This window comes from Homo sapiens, chromosome 5 (genome assembly GCF_000001405.40).
Source record: "Homo sapiens chromosome 5, GRCh38.p14 Primary Assembly".
Lineage (NCBI taxonomy): Eukaryota > Metazoa > Chordata > Mammalia > Primates > Hominidae > Homo > Homo sapiens.
The window spans coordinates 180,083,801-180,103,285 of NC_000005.10; the positions used below are offsets into that span (position 1 = coordinate 180,083,801).

At 52.6% G+C, this 19,485-nt stretch overlaps 1 protein-coding gene and 1 pseudogene across 1 annotated transcript in view, besides 3 other annotated features; both read right to left on the reverse strand.

Moving 5' to 3' along the window:
* On the reverse strand, positions 1,809–3,255 carry LOC646058 (histone PARylation factor 1 pseudogene; annotated as a pseudogene).
* Positions 6,727–6,856: a silencer, noted in NCBI's record as "silent region_16758". NCBI's record gives its function as "represses an Ori minimal core promoter by ATAC-STARR-seq in GM12878 lymphoblastoid cells {active_cell/tissue: GM12878}" and the evidence as "EXISTENCE:reporter gene assay evidence [ECO:0000049][PMID:35858748]".
* Positions 9,934–10,078: an enhancer, noted in NCBI's record as "145 bp enhancer 81 fragment used in the MPRA reporter construct; PK_construct_4475". NCBI's record gives its function as "activates an SV40 promoter by MPRA in K562 cells {active_cell/tissue: K562}" and the evidence as "EXISTENCE:reporter gene assay evidence [ECO:0000049][PMID:23512712]".
* Positions 9,998–10,015: a transcriptional cis regulatory region, noted in NCBI's record as "GATA motif; enhancer activity is reduced when this motif is scrambled". NCBI's record gives its function as "necessary for full MPRA enhancer 81 activity {active_cell/tissue: K562}" and the evidence as "EXISTENCE:site-directed mutagenesis evidence [ECO:0005528][PMID:23512712]".
* The window catches only part of RASGEF1C (RasGEF domain family member 1C), a 108,417-nt gene continuing 105,926 nt past the window's right edge, over positions 16,995–19,485 (reverse strand). Inside the window, exons 13-14 of the mRNA NM_175062.4 lie at positions 18,271–18,343; positions 16,995–17,725 (exon numbers count right to left, since the gene is read on the reverse strand). Coding sequence (NP_778232.2) covers positions 17,701–17,725; positions 18,271–18,343 — 98 coding nt within the window. The 3' untranslated portion in view covers positions 16,995–17,700. The remainder of the gene's footprint in view (positions 17,726–18,270; positions 18,344–19,485) is intronic.

Below are 19,485 nucleotides of genomic sequence, written 5' to 3' on the forward strand. Positions count from 1 at the left end.
CCAGCACATTCAGGAGGAACGTTCTGCCGTCTCAGAATCCCAGCGGGGCACAGCAGGACAGAAATGCTTTCTCTTTTTTAAAGGACTTACCATTCCGTATTCTGAGCCTCAGTGGCTTATCTCATGTCGTGAGTCCCATTAAGCCAGCCACTTGGACCAGCTCAATAAAATGCTCCAATGGACCAGACCACGTGTTTCTTCCTAGAGGCCTAGGGGGAGGACCCCTTGACCCAGCCCCATGGGCTGAAAATGGAGAGGGTGGTACAATAAAAAATAAATGTTGGTCTTGGTCCCTGCTTTTGGCACATAACTCCCGAAACCCTTGGAATCTCTGATAATGGTGGTAATCTCTGATAATGATTTTAGATAGCTTCAGGATGAGGGCTGGTTGCCAGAGGAACCAACGATGCATTTAGAGGGTCAGGACTTTCAGCCCCAACCCCCAATCTCCAGGGAGGGGTGGGGAGCTGGAGACTGAATCAGTCTCCACTGGTCAAGGCTCGGGTAATGAAGCCTCCGAGCTTCTGGGTTGGTGAACACACTGATATGCTGGGAGGGGATGCACCCAGAGAGGGTATGCGGGCTCCAGGCCCCTTTCCTCATCCCTCGCCCTGTGCATCTCCTCCATTTGGCGGTTCCTGAGTTGTATCCTTTATGATGGCAAGAGTAAGGTAAGTACCTTCCTGAGTCCTGTGAGTCATTCTAGCAAATTACAGAACCTGAAGTAGGGCAGGTTGTGGGAACCCCTGACTTTGTAGCCAAGTCAGACCAAAGTGTGGGTAACTTGGCACCTGAAGACAGGCCAGTATTATGGGACTAAACCCTATGGAGTGTCAAGTCAACTCCGAGTAGTTAAGTGTCAGAATCAGCTTGAACCATAGGACACCCAGTTGATGCCAGAATTGGTTGGTGTCTGGAGGGTTTCCCAAGGAAAATTGGGATGCACTTATAGGTATAAGGCACATAGATCTGGGTAGCGGCAGTAACAGGCACACTTGTTCCCCTGTGACAGATGTGGCTTGCCCTGCCCCTGGGATGAGTCAGGAGTCTCTCCAGCATCACCTGGGGCATGCCAGCAGCATCCCAGGCTGGGACAAGAGACACCCATTGGGGGCCATTGGGATGCCTTGGGCTGCAAGTAACAGAAACCCTCACTGACATGGGCTTCCTTGAGAAGGGGATCCGGGGAAGAAAGGGTTTTGGACAGCCTGCGTGGCCTTTCACAGTCTTTGTCCCCAAGGCCGTCTTCTCTCACAGCTGCAAGATAAATGCCAGCCGCAACTGGAGCAAGGCACTTCCTCATTCCTGCTAGATGGGGAGAGAGAAAGCATTCCCTCAATGGCAGAAAAAAAATTCTTATCTTCAGCCATTTTTTTTCCGTTGGTAGAGACGGGGACTCTCTATGTTGCCCAGGCTGCTCTCAAATTCTGGGCTCAGGAGATCCTCCTGCCTTGGCCTCCCAAAGTGCTGGGATTACAGGCAAGAGCCACCACACCTGGCCTTCAGCCAATTTTGATACCTGCCCAACCACTCTGGACGAATAGAGTCAACAAGGAAATGCCAGGGCTGATTGCTTTAAGCCTGAGCCCCTGACTGCAACAGCAGATAAGATGACATCGCAGACCGGCTGGTGTGCTTATGCTGACTTCCCGAAGGGAGGGGACTGTGTGAAGGCAGCGGGTTCTGGGTGGGTGCTCTGTGTGTAGAGATGCATTGCCTGGTACCATCCTGACCCATGGGGTAGGAGATGCCCTTACCTTCTCGATTTTCTCCTCCTTTGCCTTTTCTCTTTTTTTTCTTTAATTATAAATGTTTTTAGTAAATGTTTATTTTTTATATTCCTTAAAAACAAAACAAAAATCACAAGTTTAATACTAATCCTTTGAAATACTGTACACCAAACAAAGCCACCTGACTCATGCAGCAAGTTGCTCTATGTTCTCTTTACTTCTGTTTGCCAAATGATCCTCAATAATTTCTGCAGATTCCTCTTCAACAGATTATATGCAAGAGGTAAATGCTGAGCAGCAACTTTATGAAAATAATGTGAGCCACAGCAAAAGAGCTCCATTCCCAACTCACGCCCCTTCCCACAATTACATTCATCACTAGCAAACTGCACGAAAGTCATCATTTCCTGAATGGGAACAAAAGCTTTCAGTCTCTCCTCACTTGCAGCCTCAACTATTGTCTTGCAAATTCTGTTGACGTCAGCATCTGTTTCAGGGAGCTCTCTGTACCCAACATCATTTTTATCTGCTGGAACAGCCAAGCCTGCACCATGAAAGGCCTTCGTCACAACTTTCTTATCGGTTTCATCTTCGTGGTTGTCTGTTCCAGTGAGGACCCCATTTCTCTGGCTGCTTCTGCGAGTTTTTCATCTATGTTTTTCAAGAGATTAGTTTTTTTTTTTTTTTTTTTGAGGCAGAGTTTTGCTGTTGTTGCCCAGGCTGGAGTGCAATGGCACGATCTTGGCTCACTGCAACTTCCACCTCCCGGGTTCAAGCGATTCTCCTGCCTCAGCCTCCCGAGTAGCTGGGATTACAGGCATGCGCCACCACGCCCGGCTAATTTTGTATTTTTAGTAGAGATGGGGTTTCTCCATGTTGGTCAGGCTGGTCTCAAACTCCCTACCTCAGGTGATCCACCCGCCTCGGCCTCCCAAAGTGCTGGGATTACAGGCGTGAGCCACTGCACCCGGCCTAGTTTTCTTTTTATGCGTTACTTCTTTAAGTTTTTTCATCAAAAATAATTTGACTGCCACAAATACATTATCTCCATTTGGAACAATTGTACACTTTTTCTTTGCTTCATTTATACCAACATATGCAGGAAGTTCATCAGAAGAATCCCTGAAATACCCCATGTGGTACTGAGTTTTATTATCTCCAATAATGACGGTCTGGAACTCAGGAGGATCATGGTAAAACCTCCAATGAAGGCTAACATTCAGGCCTGTTGAATTTTTCTTAATTTTATGTTTTCCAGCAAGGATATCATAAGGACCACCTAACTGAAGTCCGAGGCTTGCAGAAAGTGATCAGCTGGCTTTTCAGGATCAAGTTCTTCAAAGAACTTCCAGAAACGATCGGAATCTTCAGGTGAAGAGAGCTTATAATGATTTTCTACTTCTTGTCGAAGACCACATCAGCTTCATAGAATTTACTTTTCTTCACATTAACCATTTTTTCACAGGCCCCTCCCCGCTGGGCTTGCACTTCCTCCCACCGCCGACCATTCTGCAGCCGCAGTGCCTTTTTTTTTTTTTTTTTACACAGGATCTGGCTCTGCTGCCCAGGCTGGAGGGCAGTGGCACAATCATAGCTCACTGCAGCCTCAAACTCCCAGGCTCAAGCCATGCTCCTGACCCAGCCTTCTGAGTAGATAAGGCTACAGCCACGCCCCACCATGCCTGGATGCTTTTTCGTTGTTGTTGAGACACGGTCTTGCTATGCTGCCCAGGCTGGCCTGGAACTCCTGGCCTCAAGTGATCCTCCCACCTCAGCCTCCCAAAGCATTCAGGTTACAAGTGTGAGCCACTGTGCCTGGCCTTCTCTTCCTTTTCTCTCCCATTTCACCCTCTTCCTCCCCTACCACTCTGTTCTTCCATCACCTGTTTTCTTTTACCCTCTCCTGCTTTCTGACTCCACCCCACACAGGTTTCATCAGTTAATTTTAAATAAACCTTAGCATTGGCTATACAGGTTGGGCAGATGACTATACCTCTTTAAACCTCAACTTTTTAATCCTTAAAATGGGAGAATCGGCCAGGCGCAGTGGCTCACGCCTGTAATCCCAGCACTTTGGGAGGCTGAGGTGGGCGGATCACCCAAGGTCAGGAGTTTGAGACCGGCCTGACCAGCATAGTGAAACCCTGTCTCCACTAAAAAATACAAAAAAATAATTACCCGGGCATGGTGGTGGGCACCTGTAATCCCAGCTACTCGGGAGGCTGAGGCAGGAGAATCCTTTGAATCCAGGAGGCAGAGGTTGCAGTGAGCCGAAATTGCACCACTGCACTCCAGCCTGAGCAACAGAGCAAGACTCCATCTCAAAAAAATAAAAAATAAAATAAAATAAATGGGAGAATTAACATTCGTCGTAATTAGGGAGGTTAAATATTACATTTTGGATTCTGAAGCTGGCCAAGATGAAGTAAGAGACCACTACAATCCATCCATGCCGCTGTCTAGGGACAAAATCAACAAGTCACTAGCTAAGGACTCTGCAGTGTTAACAATAGCAGGTGGATAGGAGAGAAGAGCTGAAACTTGAAGAATGACCTATTCAAGGGCAAGTTTCCCAGTTGCTTTTTCTTTCTTGTCTCCCAGTTTTGAACTGAGGTCAGCCCCAGTATAGAACAGTGCAGCATGTATGGGCAGAAAAAACTTCAAGAGAACCATCTGTGAGTGGAAAAAACACAAACCGTTTTTCCTCTGCTCCCACGCCACAGTAAGCAACACAGAAGGCTTCGGTGACCAAATGTTGGGGGTTTCTCCCCACACATCAGCAAGCAAGCAACCAATTCTGCATTAGGCACCAGCTGGGTGTCCTCTATATTCTAATGCTATCTACCTGGAGAGAGCGTCAGAGCCCACAGGGTGGGGCTCAGTCCCCAAGACTGCCTCCACTTCTGATGCCACTCCCAAGTCAGGGCCTCAGGAACTTCTGAGGGACCGGCTTCAAGTTGGGGTTCCCATGACGCCCTCCTTGCGTTCAATTAATTTGCGAGAGTGGCTCACAGAACTCGGGGACACACTTACATTTGCTGGTTTATTATAAAGGGTATTGGGAAGAATACAGATGAAGAGATGCCTGGGCAAGGCATGGGGAAAGGGGCACGAAGGTTCTACCCCTCCCTGGGCACGCGGCCCTCCAGGAACCTCCATGTGTTCAGCTATCCTGGAGGTTATACGGAGGCTTCATTTCTTGGGCGTGGCTGGTGAAATCACTGGCCATGGGTGACCAACTTAACCTTCAGCCCCTCTCCGCTCCCCGGAGGCTGGGGGGTGAGGCTGAAAGTCCCAGGCCTCTAGTCCTGCCTTGGTCCTTCTGGTGACCAGCCCCATCCTGGAGCTACCTGGGGGCTGCCCGCCTTCACCCACCTCTTTAGCATATGAAAGACACTACTGTGGAGATTCTGAGGATTCTAGCAGTTGTAGGCCAGGAAGCCCGGATGAAGACCAAATGTATATTTGATAAGATCACAGCCACATTTTGTGTAGCATTCATCCACTGAAGTACATTTTGTTTGTTCCCCACTCCTCGGCTATTGTGAGCAGTGTGGCTATGTACATTTGTGTGCAAGTTTTTGTGTGACTGTATGTTGTCATTTCTTTTGGAATGGAATACCTAGGAGGGTGGAGTTGCTGGGTCACGTGGTCATGTTTAATTTTCTCTAGATCTTATCACTTTCTGAAATTATTACTTTTCTTTTATGTATTTTTTTTTTTTTGAGACAGAGTCTTGCTCTGTCGCCAGCTGGAGTGCAATGGCCCTATCTCAGCTTACTGCAAACTCCGACAGGTTCAAGTGATTCTCCTGCCTCAGCCTCCCGAGTAGCTGGGATTACAGGCGCGTGCCACCACGCCCAGCTGATTTTTATATTTTTTGTAGAGATGGGATTTCACCATGTTGGCCAGGCTGGTCTAGAACTCCTGACCTCAGGTGATCTGCCCACCTTGGCTTCCCAAAGTGCTGGGATTACAGGCGTGAGCCACCACATCCACCTATTACTTGTTTATTGACTGTCTCTACAGGGGGCTGGGACTGGGATGAAGTGAGTGAGATGGTTGCCTCAGGTGGAAAATTGGAGAAGGGTCCTCAAAATCTCAGTCATCAGCATAAATAATATTTTAATACAATATTTTCAAAAGTCAAAGACAAGGTCAGTCAGAGGACTGGAGCCTGAGGCCAAAAGAAAAATCCAATCCGGCCAGGCGCGGTGGTTCACGCCTGTAATCCCAGCACTTTGGGAGGATGAGGTGGGGGGATCACGAAGTCAGGAGTTCGAGACCAGCCTGGCCAATATGGTGAAACCCCGTCTCTACTAAAGATGCAAAAAATTAGCCAAACATGGCGGCGGGCGCCTGTAATCCCAGCTACTCAGGAGGCTGAGGCAGGAGAATCGCTTGAACTCGGGAGGCGGAGGTTGCAGTGAGCAGAGATGGCGCCGCTGCTCTCCAGCCTGGGCGACGGGGAGAGACTCCGTCAAAAAAAAAAAAAATCCAATCCTGTCTTTATTTAAAATGTTGATATTTTGTTCATGGACTTTTTCATTAACTTTAACTTTTAAAAACATGGCATTAAAATATTGCGCACCTCGACGGCTGCGTTTTCCGGTCTCTCCGGCGTTTTGCGCGGGAGGAGAGTGAGGCGCTTTCTCGCCCACATCCCCCGCGGGGGTCGCGAGGGCTCTCCCTCAGCTCAGCCGCGGGCTCTCAGGAGGCTCAGGTCTGGCTGAAGGGAAGGATTGTTTGGGAGCAGGAACTATAATCAGCCTTGATTTTAGGTCAGGCTTTCGTGCTGGGAGGCCCGCCCTAAAATCAAAACGCGAGAAAAACCTCAGGAGGTGGGAGCAGCTGAGGCCAGACCTGGGGGAGGGTCCGTGAGGGGAAGGAGGGAGCAGATCCCAAGGCATCTCGGCGGAGAAAGGGACGCAGGTCGGTGGGCGATTGCTGGGGGCGGGGTGGGGAGGAGCGCTGCCGCCGGAGGAGCGCGAAGGAGCAAATCTGACGCCCAGCACTCGGGACGCCCAGCGCGGCGTCAGGGGCCCCCTGTGCCCCGGATTCCTGCCGGGCTGAGTGGGCGGTGCCGGAGGGAGGGCGCCCCCTGGCGGTTCGGCGCGGGCCGGCGACGGCCTCGGCTTCTTTTTTTTTTTTTTTGAGACGTGGTCTCGCTGTGTCTGGAGTGCAGTGGCGAGATCTCGGCTCACTGCAACCTCCGCCTCCCGGGTTCAAGCCATTCTCCTGCCTCAGCCTCCTGAGTAGCTGGGAGTACAGGCGTGTGCCACCACGCCCGGCTAATTTTTGAGTTTTTAGTAGAAAAGGGGTTTCACCTTGTTGGCCAGGCTGGTCTCGAACTCCTGACCGCAAATGATCCCCACCCCCCCCCCCCACCTCCGCCTCCCAAAGGGCTGGGATTACAGGCGTGAGCCACCGCCCCCGGCCCCTTGGCCTCTTAAGTAAGCAACTTCCCAGGGATGCCAAGGCACGGGAGAGAATCAGGATAAACAAGGCAGTATTTAAAAAAATTAAATCAGTAAGCTATTGCCCACAGGCTGGCTGCCTGTTTTGATAAGTAAAGTTTTACTGGCAAACTGGCAAAAAATAGAGAGCAAAGGCCTCAGGTGCAGGCCACGTGCCAGGGAAAAGCATGAGACTTAACTGGGCTATTTTAACGCAGTCTGTTTCACCTGCAAGGTGATGCCTCTGATGTTGCTCCTCAGGGGGAGCCTTGGGCATGCTCACAGTCATCCTGGGGTGGCGGTGGCTTTAGCAGGGCTCTCTTTGGCTGTCCCTTTCCCTCGTAATTCTGTTAACTGTCTGCCTTTGTTGGTCTCGCACCAGCTGTTAGGCGCCACCAACTGCTGGATGATGGTTCTACTGTTAAGACCAGGTCCTGGGACCAACATTTCTCCACAGTTTGATTCAATTAAATGCAGGTGCCTCTGCAGGGGCAGTGTTCCAGGTCAGTCTTCGAGGTTCATTCTGACCCCAGAGGGCTCTTTGTGGCTGCTTTCTCCATGGTTCTATCTGGTAAATTGGCTGGCTTATGGTTTAGCTTGTTGCTCTGTTGAAGCTACTAGTTATCTGTTAATCGCTTACCAACACGATCTCTACTGTTTTTGTTTTGTTTTTAGACAGTCCAGCTCTGTCGCCGAGGCTGGAGTGCAGCGGCACAATCTCGGCTCACTGCAACCTCTGTCTCTTGGGTTGAAACGATTCTCCTGCCTCAGCCTCCCAAGTAGCTGGGATTACAGGCGTGTGCCACCACACCAGGCTAATTTTTTATATTTTTGGTAAAGACGGAGTTTCACCATGCTGGCCAGGCTGGCCTCAAAATTCTGAGCTCGGGTGATCCACCTGCCTCAGCCTCTTAAAGTGCTAGGATTACAGGCGTCGGCCTCCACACCTAGCCTCTCTTGTTTTTTGAGTGCCCTTAGCCTTGAACTTACCTACACTGTGTTCAAATAAAGGCAATTCCTTTGGGGAGAGCTTAGAAGCTGTCTGTCCTGTGCCTTGCCTCTCCTCTCCTGGGCAAAATTTCTCAGTCACTGCTTCACTGTGGGTGGTAGGGACAACGGCCCACTTTCTCAGAGTGACACCCTTGCTTGATGAGTGGACTGGGTGGGGACTGCGGCCTCTGATCTTCCTGGCTTGCCTCTCCCAGCATGGAATTTCCACCCTGAGTGAGCTGGAGCCAGCCTGACTCGGTGTGCTCAGACTGAAGCACCTAGGGCAGAGTCTCCACTCTGCAATGGAAGGGCTGAGTGGAGGAGGGGGCCCTGACCTCTCAGCTGCACTTGCTCCAGATTTAGCTTCTAACACAGAGCTGGGCTTGCGGAGAGAGATGCTGGAAGCCTGCCCCTCCCGTGGGGATATGGTAGCCTTGCCTGGGAGCTGGGGGACAGAGAGCTTTGTGTTGTTGACTGCACCCACCTGGCACAGAGCTTTTGTCACTCTGAGCTGAGAGTAAGGATGGAGGAAGTGGTAATAGTTCAAATTTCATAGTGCTCACTGTTCTTACTGAGCTTCAGTAGATTTTTTCTTGAATCAGTTTTTCTTCATTTGGTCTATTATTTTAAGACAACTTCCGGGCCGGGCGTGGTGGCTCACGCCTGTAATCCCAGCATTTGGGAGACCGAGGCAGGCGGATCACGAGGTCAGGAGTTCGAGACCAGCCTGACCAACATGGTGAAACCCCGTCTCTACTAAAAATACAAAAAAAACATAGCCAGGCATGGTGGTGGGCGCCTGTAATCCCAGCTACTCAGGAGGCTGAGGCAGGAGAATTGCTTGAACCCGGGAGGCGGAGGTTGCAGTGAGCCAGATTGTGACACTGCACTCCAGCCTGGGCAACAGAGTGAGACTCTGTCTCAAAAAAAAAAAAAAAAAAAAGACAATTTCTGGAGGCTTAAAAAAATCCTTTTTACCCCTTGCACTCGTTTTGCTGGGAAGGGGGTCCGTAGGTTTCCCTCGGCTCCTCTCCTCTGCCTGCCCTTTGAGATTCCTGCTCCTGATGCTTGGCAAATACCCTTCATCCTCACGGCCCTGAGGAGCTCCCCGGCTCTCCCTCCCTGGGCCTGGGCCCCAGGGTGTTTCCTCCTCTGGTAGCTGCGTGTGTCTGAGATGCTATTATTTTGGAGGAACATCACATTTGAGAGAGACCCACCTTTTGCTGTCTGTGTACTCCCCTTCCCTGTTTTCCTGCTCATTTCTTTGGGTGCAGAGCTCTCTTGCTAGGCCATAGGCCCTCTCAGCTTTGGGAGCTCTACCCTACTCCCTACAGTGATTTACTGTACTTTTTGGTTGTAAAATGTTTTTCTGGGGGGATGGGAGACAGGGTCTCATTCTATCACTCAGGCTGGAGGGCAGTGGCTCAATTATAGCTCGCCGCAGCCTTGAACTCCTGGGCTCAAGCTATTCCCCTCCCTCGGCCTCCCAAGTAGCTGGGACTACAGGTGTGCGCCACTACGCCTGGCTAATTTTTAAATTTTTTGTAGAGACAAGGTCTCCCTATGTTGCCCAGGCTGGTCTTGAACGCCTGGCCTCAAGTTATCCTCCTGCCTCCCAAAGTGCTGGAACTGCAGGCATGAGCCACCATGCCCAGCTTAAAATCCATTTAAAAAAAATCAAAGTAGTACTTAAAGGTAATTTATAGTGTTAAGAGGCTTTTAACAGAAGCTGCCATTCCCACTCCCCCTTCCTTTCATGTTTTCTGTTCCGCAGAGGCGTTTGGGCTTCTCCTGGAGCCCTGTCCTCCCACTGGCTGTCATCTGCTGGGTGCTGATAAGAGGCTGTCTCCCAGGACTTCCTGTTCTCTCCCTGCGTTGGGTCCTGTGACTGCTGACCCACATCATCTTTCTTGGTTTATTTCCTCATTTTGGTGGCATATGTCTTGCTGCAGGAACATAATCCTGATGCTAAGCGTTGGCAAGGATTTGTGGGGCCACTTAACCATGCTGGTGGGCTGGTACGTCCATTGTGGGGTGAGGGTGCCTTTCCACGTCAGTACATGAAGCATCCTTATTACAGCTGCAGAGTATTCAATGGGGAGGCACACAGGGATGTGTTTTCCTGGCTTCCTATTTATGGACAAGGGTTGTTTCCAATCTTTTGCTGTCAAACACTGCTGTGACGAATAGCCATATGCAGACTTCATTTGAAGGTGTGTAAGGGTGAAGGGAAGATTACTTGCTGGAGGTGACATTGCCATGTCACAGCATCCACATATTTGTAATTTGTTGTTGTTGTTTTGAGACGAAGTCTTGCTCTTGTTTCCCAGGCTGGAATACAGTGGCACGATCTCAGCTCACTGCAACCTCTGCCCCCAGGGTTCAAGTGATTCTCCTGCCTCAGCCTCCCGAATAGCTGGGATTACAGGCATGCGCCACCACACAAGGCTAATTTTATGTATTTTTTAGTAGAGATGGGGTTTCACCATGTTGGCCAGGCTGGTCTCGAACTCCAGACCTCAGGTGATCCGCCCGCCTCGGCCTCCCAAAGTGCTGGGATTACAGACATGAGCCACCACGCCCGGCCTGTAATTTTGATGGCAACCGCCAAATCCACCTCCATGGGAGAGCATCAATTTACACTCCAAACAGCAATGACGAGTGCTTGTTTCCCCAGCTGTGCTTCAAAACATTACTATTAGTTTTCTGTCAATCTAAGAGGTAAAAATGGCAAATCAGTGTGGTCGTCTTTCAGAGAACTTGAAAGTTTCTATCACCGTGAGCATCTTTTGTTTGTTTGTTTGGTTTGGTTTGGTTTTTTTGAGACGGAGTCTCGCTCTGCCGCCCAGGCTGGAGTGCAGTGGCGGGATCTCGGTTCACTGCAAGCTCCGCCTCCCGGGTTCACGCCATTCTCCTGTCTCAGCCTCCCAAGTAGCTGGGACTACAGGCACCTGCCACCACGCCCAGCTAATTTTTTGTATTTTTAGTAGAGACGGGGTTTCACTGTGTTAGCCAGGATGGTCTTGATCTCCTGACCTCGTGATCCACCCATCTCGGCCTCCCAAAGTGCTGGGATTACAGGCGTGAGCCACCACGCCCGGCCATCGTGAGCATCTTTTTACATGTTCGAGCTATGTACATTTCCTCTTCTGTGAACCGTTTCTTACCCATTTTTCCATTGGATAGTTGGTCTTTCCATCTGCTTTGGAATCATCTTCAGGCAGACTTTCATCCCCAACATTTCACTGAAATTCCTTCTTTTGAGGTCACTATTGATGTCCACATTGCCCAATCCCCAGGCCAGCTCTTGGTTCTTATTGGATGTTCTCAGCAGCATGTGACACAGCTGGGTGGCTGCTGCTTCTCGAGTCTTTCTTTAACAGCTTCTGTCTCTTCCGTGGTTTCCTTCTTAACTTCCAGAAACTCTCAATGCCCTTGATGGATTTTCCTTATTTCTTCAACCTCTAAACATCTGAATTTCCAGGGCTCAGTTACCTTCTCTCTGAGTGTTGACCCGTAGACCCTTTATCCAGGTCTTCAGTAGCCTCCTGGCAGGTTTCCTGCAAAGGGTCTCGATGTGTAAGATCAAACGATCAACTATAAAGACGTGTTCTAGATGAAGAGGTTGTCTATGTGAGTGCTAACGGCTCTTGATTTAAACCAAACTGTGCTCTAAATTGCTGTGTTTCATTTATGTTTCTTTTCTTTCTTTTTTTTTGAGACAGGGTCTTACTCTGCTACACATGCTGGAATGCAGTGACGCAATCATAGCTCACTGCAGCCTCGACCTCCTGGGCTCAAGCAATCCTCCCACCTCAGCTTCCCGAGTGACTGGGAGCACAGGTATGTACCATTACCACCACGCCTGGCTAATTTTTAAATTTTCTGTAGAGATGGGGTCTATGTTGCCCAGGTTGGTCTCGAACATCTGGGCTCAAGTGATTTACCCACCTTGGCCTCCCAAAGTGCTGGGATTACAGGTGTGAGCTACCATACCTGGCCTTCGTTTATATTTTCATACAGAAGGGTAAATCATTTAAATAGTGGGGTGCAACTGTCCACAAAAGCAATAGGAGTAATTCATTGAGAAGCTTTCTGCCCCCATGAGGCACCAGTCTTCCTTCCTTCCTTCCCTCCCTTCCTTGCTGTCTTCCTTCCTTCTTTCCTTCCTTCCCTCCTTCCTTCCTCCCTTCCTGTCTTCCTTCCCTCCCTCCCTCCCTTCCTTCCTGTCTTCCTCCCTTCCTTCCCTCCTTCCCTCCCTCCCTTCCTTCCTGTCTTCCTTCCTTCCTTCCTGTCTTCCTTCCCTCCCTCCCTCCCTTCCTTCCTGTCTTCCTCCCTTCCTTCCCTCCTTCCTTCCCTCCCTCCCTTCCTCCCTCCCTCCCTCCCTTCCTCCCTTCCTGTCTTCCTTCCCTCCCTCCCTCCCTTCCTTCCTGTCTTCCTTCCCTCCCTCCCTCCCTCCCTTCCTTCCTTTTTTTTTGGGACGGCATCTTGCTCTGTCCCCAGGCTGGAGTGCAGCGGCACAATCTTGGCTCACTGCAACCTCCGCCTCCCAGGTTCCAGTGATTCTCCCACCTCCGCCTTCTGAGTAGCTGTGATTACAGGCACGCGCCACCATACCCAGCTAATTTTTTGTATTTTTTAGTCGAGACAAGTTTTCACCATGTTGGCCAGGCTGGTCTTGAACTCCTGACCTCAAGTGATCCACCCGCCTTGGCCTCCCCAAGTGCTGGGATTACAGGTGTGAGCCACCGCGCCCAGTGGGTGCACTAGTCTTATTGTCCCACCAAGCCCCTGGCTGTCAGCCCATCCTGCATAGGGCCAGGAGCACACACCCATCTCCCTCTGAGGCTGCAAGAAAGGGTTCGGGCTCCTGCTGGTTGAGGGCCTTCGACTGGGCTCTCCAGGTGCTGGGCTGGGCTGAGGAGCAAACCCACGTGCTGGTACAGGAGCAGGATGATGGAGGCCGCTCGTGACATCTCCATTATGCAAATACTATGCTGGTCTCAGGTTTTTTCGCTGAGTTTAGGTTGTAAAAGTGGAAGTGTTGGGTCAAAAGCGATCAGAGATCTTTTTAAAACTGACCATGTTACTGCCACCCCCAGAACTCTTCACTGGCTCCCCTAGAGCCTTTGGGGTAAACGTCAAGCTCCTTGGTCTGTCCTGTGGGGTTCTTTACCGTTGGCCTCTGCTGCTCTTTCCTGCCATTGCTCTCTGCCCCGACATGTGGGATTTCCGTCTCCTCCTTGCTGAACTGCTGTCAGCTTGCCCACTTGGTAAAGGTCTGTTGGTCTGTAGTGGGGGTAGCTTATGCCTTAGATCCCTTCATTCCACTTAAACTTCCCATCTCTTCGGTCCTACCTGGAGGCGCAGGGTGGGATGCTGAAGAGGACGGTGTCAGGCACCCCGCCCAGCCACAGGCAAGGGCCCCACTGTGGTTGAGGAGCCTCTCGTCAGGCCTTTCGAGGTTTTCCTATTGGATCCATCTCCTGGCCTAGGGCCCCAGGACCCCAACCTGAGTCCTGGGGAGTTAAAATGGTGCCTTTTCACTGAAGACTCTGTGTAGTGGGCCATGAGCCACATGGCCTGGATGCCTGGGGATGGAGGGTGGCGTGATAGGGAGTGAGGCCTGCTTTTCTCTATGGCTGGGTATGAGGCATGGCTTTACCCAGCAGGGCCTGCAGAGGGCCGGGGCAGGTGCAGGAGGGGAGCTGGGCTGTGGCAGATTTTGTCTTGAGCATGAATGAGACAGTGCAGGGTCCTCCTGAAACACCAGGGGACACAGGGGGCTCAGGGACCTGCAAAAGAGGAGGAGGCAGGAGCAGAGGAAAGATGCATGTCACCTTGAGTGTGACTATGGGAAGCCCCGGTGGCCAGCAGAAGCCCCTCTGCCCCACACCATGGTTAGGAGCAGAGCTGTGGAGGTGACAGACCCTGCAGTCCCCGCCTCTCCATGCTGTTGTCCATGAGCAGTTGCTTAGCCTTTCTGAGCCTCTGTTCCCCACTTGCCAAGGGGGATGGTGACAGCACCTAGCTGGCGGGGTTTGTTAGGCTGTAGGTGAAGTGCTGGCCTGAGGCTCGGTGTCACGGGGAAGCGTTTGAGTTTCCAGGTGTGAAGTATGAGCTTCCAGCTGAGGCACATCCCAAATGGGGCTCTTGACTGAGATCCCAGCTGCTCACCTCCTTGACCCATGGGTGGGTGAGTCAGTGGTCGGGAGCTAGAAACTGGGGAGGGCATTGCTCAGAGGGTGCTGTGGGTACATGGGGGCACTTCCAAGGGGTGAGGGGGTTGCCCCTCCTGGAGAACCACTCAGGAGCCCTGCAGGGTTGGGAGATGCAGAGGCTTGAGGTCTGATGCCTGCCTGAGGGATGTGAAGGATGAGGGGCCATGTCAGCGTTTGTTTATCTGTTCCTGAGTTGTTAGGGAAGAGACTGTGACAGTCCCTGGGGCAGCCCTACTCACACCTCTGAGGTTATCTGGGGTTCTGCTCTGGGGGCTGCATGGACTTTGCGGAGGGCTGGATGCGGCTGGGTTCCCAGGCTAAGTTGCTGGCCACGATGGAGATGCCTGCTCTGGTCTAATGCTGGTGACCCCCACATTCCCATGTTGAAGCAGAATCCCCAGTGTGAGGGTATTAAGAGGTGGGGTCTTTTGGGGAGTGGGTAAGTCATGGGGGTGGTGCCCTTGTGAATGGGCTTAGCGCCCTCATAAGAGGGGCTGGAGGCAGCTGCATCCCCCTTCCGTGTGAGGGCACCCAGGCGGCACTACCTGTGAGGGGCCAGACACTGAATCAGCCGGTGCCGTCATCTTGGACTTCCCAGCCCTCAGAACTGTGAGCAACGCATTCCCGTTGTGTATGAATTACCAGCCTCTGGTATTGTTACAGCAGCCAGAACCAAGACACCATTTCCCAAGGAACTGCTTGGGGTGGGCAGCAGTGCCCAGTGATGCAGTGATGGGGGGCAGGGATTTCAGAGAACCGAGGGGTCCCCCATGTGAGAATGAATCAATATGGAACCCCAGCCAGGCCCAGGGCCTCTGAGGCAAGCCCCAGTCAGGGAAGAATCTTCCGGTCTGCAGGCTCCATGCCACCCCAGCTCCCTCCCTGGAGAAGAAGCCCAGGCGGTGAAGGAGAGCCCATGGCCAGGCCCTGCCTCATGCCTGCGGTTCGACTGAGTGGTGTTAGGGATTCGCAGTGGTGTTAGGGGTTCGCATCACCTGGTGCCACGCCGAGCTCACAGGCATTAGTCCTGGGCACCACCTGCGCTGCTGACACCTGCCCCACAGGCACAGGCCCTGCCCTGTGGAGCCCCTGGGGGCCGTCCCATCTGGCTGGCCATGACGCTGGAGCCAGGACTACAGGAGGACAAAGACGCCTCTGCAGGGAAGGGCCATGAGCCAAGGAGCAGACCGTGTGGCTGTGAGCAAGGCCTCCCTGGGCTCCGAGGCTGCACCTGGAGAAGCCACACCATGTCTGGGTGGGTCCTCTGAGGGAGCTCACGCCCTCTGGCTGCACCAGGGCCTGGCACACAGCAGCTGCTCAGAGGGGTGCAGAGCCAGGTTGAAGGCCCCCTGGAGGATCCTGAGGCACAAATGTGCTCAGCCTGAGCCCCCAGCCCTGCCTTCTCCACGGGGCTGGCTGTGGGCTGCCTCCTTCCCTGCTGCCCCAGAGCCTCCCCTGCTGGGGTGAGCCTCGGGGCACCCAGCTTCACCTGGCCATCCTCCTGATACCCATCCTGCGCTGGGCCACTGGGGGCTGCTGCCAGGAACGGCTTCTGGGAGATGGGCCCTGCACCTGAGGCTGCAGCTCTGACTGGATCGACAAGGTGGGGAACAGCATGTCAGGCAGTGGGAACAGCATACTGGTGTGGCCAGGAGGCAGGGACGATCCCCGCTGACCTCTGGAGGGGGCTTTTCTCATGTTGCCCAAGGGGTGCCAGGGACTGAGGGTGCCAGGTAGGGATGAGGGTGAGACGATGGCTCTAACCAGCTCCTGGAACCCCCCAAACTCCTGGGGTTTGGCCCCCAGGGCTCTGCCCAGGCCCTGCGGGAGCCCTGCCCCCACCTCTCCACACTGCTTGCCGTCCCTGGGGTCTCAGATGGAAGAGGTGGGCTGGGGCGGTGCAGGGCAGATTCTGCTTGGCCCCGATGTGCAGGCCCCATGCCTCTGCCGGGCCCTTCTGGGGCCTTGCTGTGGTCCTGGCTCACCAGGCAGAATCCCTGAGTTGGCTGAGGCACCGGCTGCTGGTGGCCCTGTCTCTGCCCGTTCCCCAGATAGGACCCAAGTCCAGGACAGCCAAGTCTGATACTGAGTGGGACTCCACCGCTGAGGGGCCTGACATGGCCTAGAGCAGGCCAGGGGTGGGTCAGTGCACCCCAGCGCTCCCTCCTCAACCCATCCGCCACCCAGCAGGCCCTGACCAGCAAAGGGGGTACAAATTGCACTCCCTGACTTCCTGGCTAGATGACCTTGTCACGTGTCAGGTGGGGTCTCGGCTGCTCCCCGGCCCACTGCTTGCTGGCTCAGTTTTTGAGGGGCTGGAAACAGACAGGGTGGGGCTGTGGGAGGGGCCTGCTGGTGGGCCAAGGGGGTTTTGTTGGCTTCCTCATGCCCTGCTCTAGACAAGGGGCACCAGGCAAGGCTGTGGGTATCCCTCACCAAAGGTTAACTGAGCATCCCCCACGCACCAGGCTCTGTAAGCACGACACGGGGTCTCTGGATGGGAAACAGTTACCCAGTCCCATGCCTGAACTGTGGCTACAGCAGTCCCCGGGCTGAGTTGAAAACCTGCCATGGGGTGGACGTGGGGTGGACATGGATAGGCGTACGGGTGTGTTTATAGTGACTAGAGTTTACAAGGGGGCTGGGTGGCGGGACTGCCGTGTACACACTGTAACTCCATGTGTCCAGTTTGTCCTGTTGACGCGTTCCACAGCTGTCACCGGAAAGCTATCTCCTGGGGCCAGCAGCATCCAGGAAGGGGGTACCTGGGGCTGCAGAGACAAGCTCGTCGGCAGGGCAGGGTGAGGGACCATGGGTGGAATGGCAGTGGCTGCCAGTGGGCTCGGGGCTGGCGCAGGCATCTCACGTCGCACCGTGATGCCTGCTGTGGCTCCAGAAGTTCCCAAGCCACGTGGTGACAGACTGTGGGTGGTGGCCAAAGTGGCACATGTCACCAAGCAAGGTCTCGAGCTTGCAGTGGTCCCACCCTCTGGGGCAGTGTTGTGTCCTTGCCGAGGATGGACAGACTGACCAGGCCCCACGGTCCTGAAGGCAGGATGTCCCCAAGGCATGTGCCGCCCGCACGTCTGGAGGCCCTGGGTCCTGCCAGGGCCAAAGTCCCATAAAAGGTCTCCTGTGCCCGTATGGCCACTGTGGGGGGGGGGGGGGCGGGCAGCAGGCCACAGGGTCGGCATTTGCAAAATAGTGAGGCACTCCCTGGCCTCTGCCCACTGGGCCACTGAGGCAGGGCTGTGGACGGCTTCTGCGGGCTCCAGCTCTTCCTCGTCCCTCAGCTCAGCGCTTTCATGTCTTCCCCAAAATAGAAGATCTGCAGATTTAAGCATGTCGGGAGCGGTGAGAGCCTGGAGCTCCCCACCCCAGTTAGACTGCTCTCCAGCACAGCCACTTTCTCAGTGCGCTGAGGAGAGCCAGCCTCCTGCCCCAGAGGGGTGTTCTGCAAATCCCTGGGGCTCAGCCCTCGAAGTCCATTGCTATGGATCATTTCCGACCGCCACTTGGACGTGTTAACACGCCGAGCAAGAAGGAGGTGGGGTGTGTGTCCCACTGTCTGGCATACAAATATAGACTGGGAGTCCCTGTCCCTGGGACATGCATCTTGACTGCACACAGAGGCAGCCACCAGCCGTGGGGGAGTCACAGGCTCAGCCTCCTCTCCTCACCCCTATGACTGTGGCTTGATCCCCACTGTGGGCTGCTGAGGCTCCCAGGAGGCTGGTGAGCCGGGTATCTCTGAAGCCCCTCGGCCCTGTCCTGGTCCCAAGCAGTCCCCGGGTCCCACCTCGGCGCGAAGACTCACCTTAGAGCTTTCCATCCCAAGCAGCCCCCAGGCCCCACCTTGGCAGGAAGACTCACCTTAGAGCTTTCCATCTTTCTTTTTCTGTTTGGTTCTCTGGGCTCTCACTTTCGTAAGAAGCCAAATAAAGACCTAGACAGAAAATGAAGTGAAATTTCACAATTATGGTTGATGATAATAACCTGTTCTACACCTGCTATATCTGCGTGGGTCTCTTTCTGGGTTCTCTATTCTGTCCCATTGATCCATGTGTCCATCCCTCCCCTAATACTGTGCTGTCTTAACGACAGTAGTTCTATAACATTTGCGTGAGGGCTTTTGCTTTTGTGTGAAACTCACTTCAAATGATGTATAAATACATGAGTCTTTATTTCTCTGGAATAACTAACTGCCCAAGAATGCAATGGCTGGGCCATATCATAGTGGCATATTTGGAATAAGAAACTCTTTATCTAGCCCTATATTCTGAGGGTTATCTCTTGCTTTTCCCTGCTAAAAGCTGTATAGGTTTACATTTTACATTTTAGTCTGTGATCCATGCTGAGCTAATTATTTGTATAAGGTGTGAGGCTTGGGCTGGGGTTCATGTTTTGGTCTGTGGATGTCCGGATGCTCCGGCACTGTTTGTTGGAGGGCTAGCTTTCCTCCATTGGGTTTTGTTTTGTTTTGTTTTGTTTTTGTCAAAAATCACCTGGTATATTTGCGTGGGTCTCTTTCTGGGTTCTCTATTCTGTCCCATTGATTCATGCGTCCATCCCTCCCCTAATACTGTGCTGTCTTAACGACCATAGCGCTATCATATCAGCCTTAACATCAAGCAGACTCATTCCTCCCACGAATCCTTTTCAAGATTGTTTTAGCAATTCTAGTTCCTTTGACTTCCGATACAAATTTTAGGAGAATCTCGTCTCTATCTTACAAAGAGTCTTGCTGGGATTTGGGTAGGAATTGCATTAAACCTGTACTTAAATTCTGGGAGGAGAATTAATACCTTTGCTATGCAGTCTTTGCGTTCGAGAACATCCTATGTCTCCATTTATCTACATCTTTCTTGATTTCTTTCATCAGCATTAACTTTTTTTTGAGACAGAAGTCTCGCTCTGTCGCCCAGGCTGGAGTGCAGTGGCGCGATCTCGGCTCACTGCAAGCTCTGCCTCCCGGGTTCACACCATTCTCCTGCCTCACCCTCCCGAGTGGCTGGGACTACAGGTACCCACCACCACGCCCGGCTAATGTTTTGTATTTTTAGTAGAGATGGGGTTTCACCGTGTTAG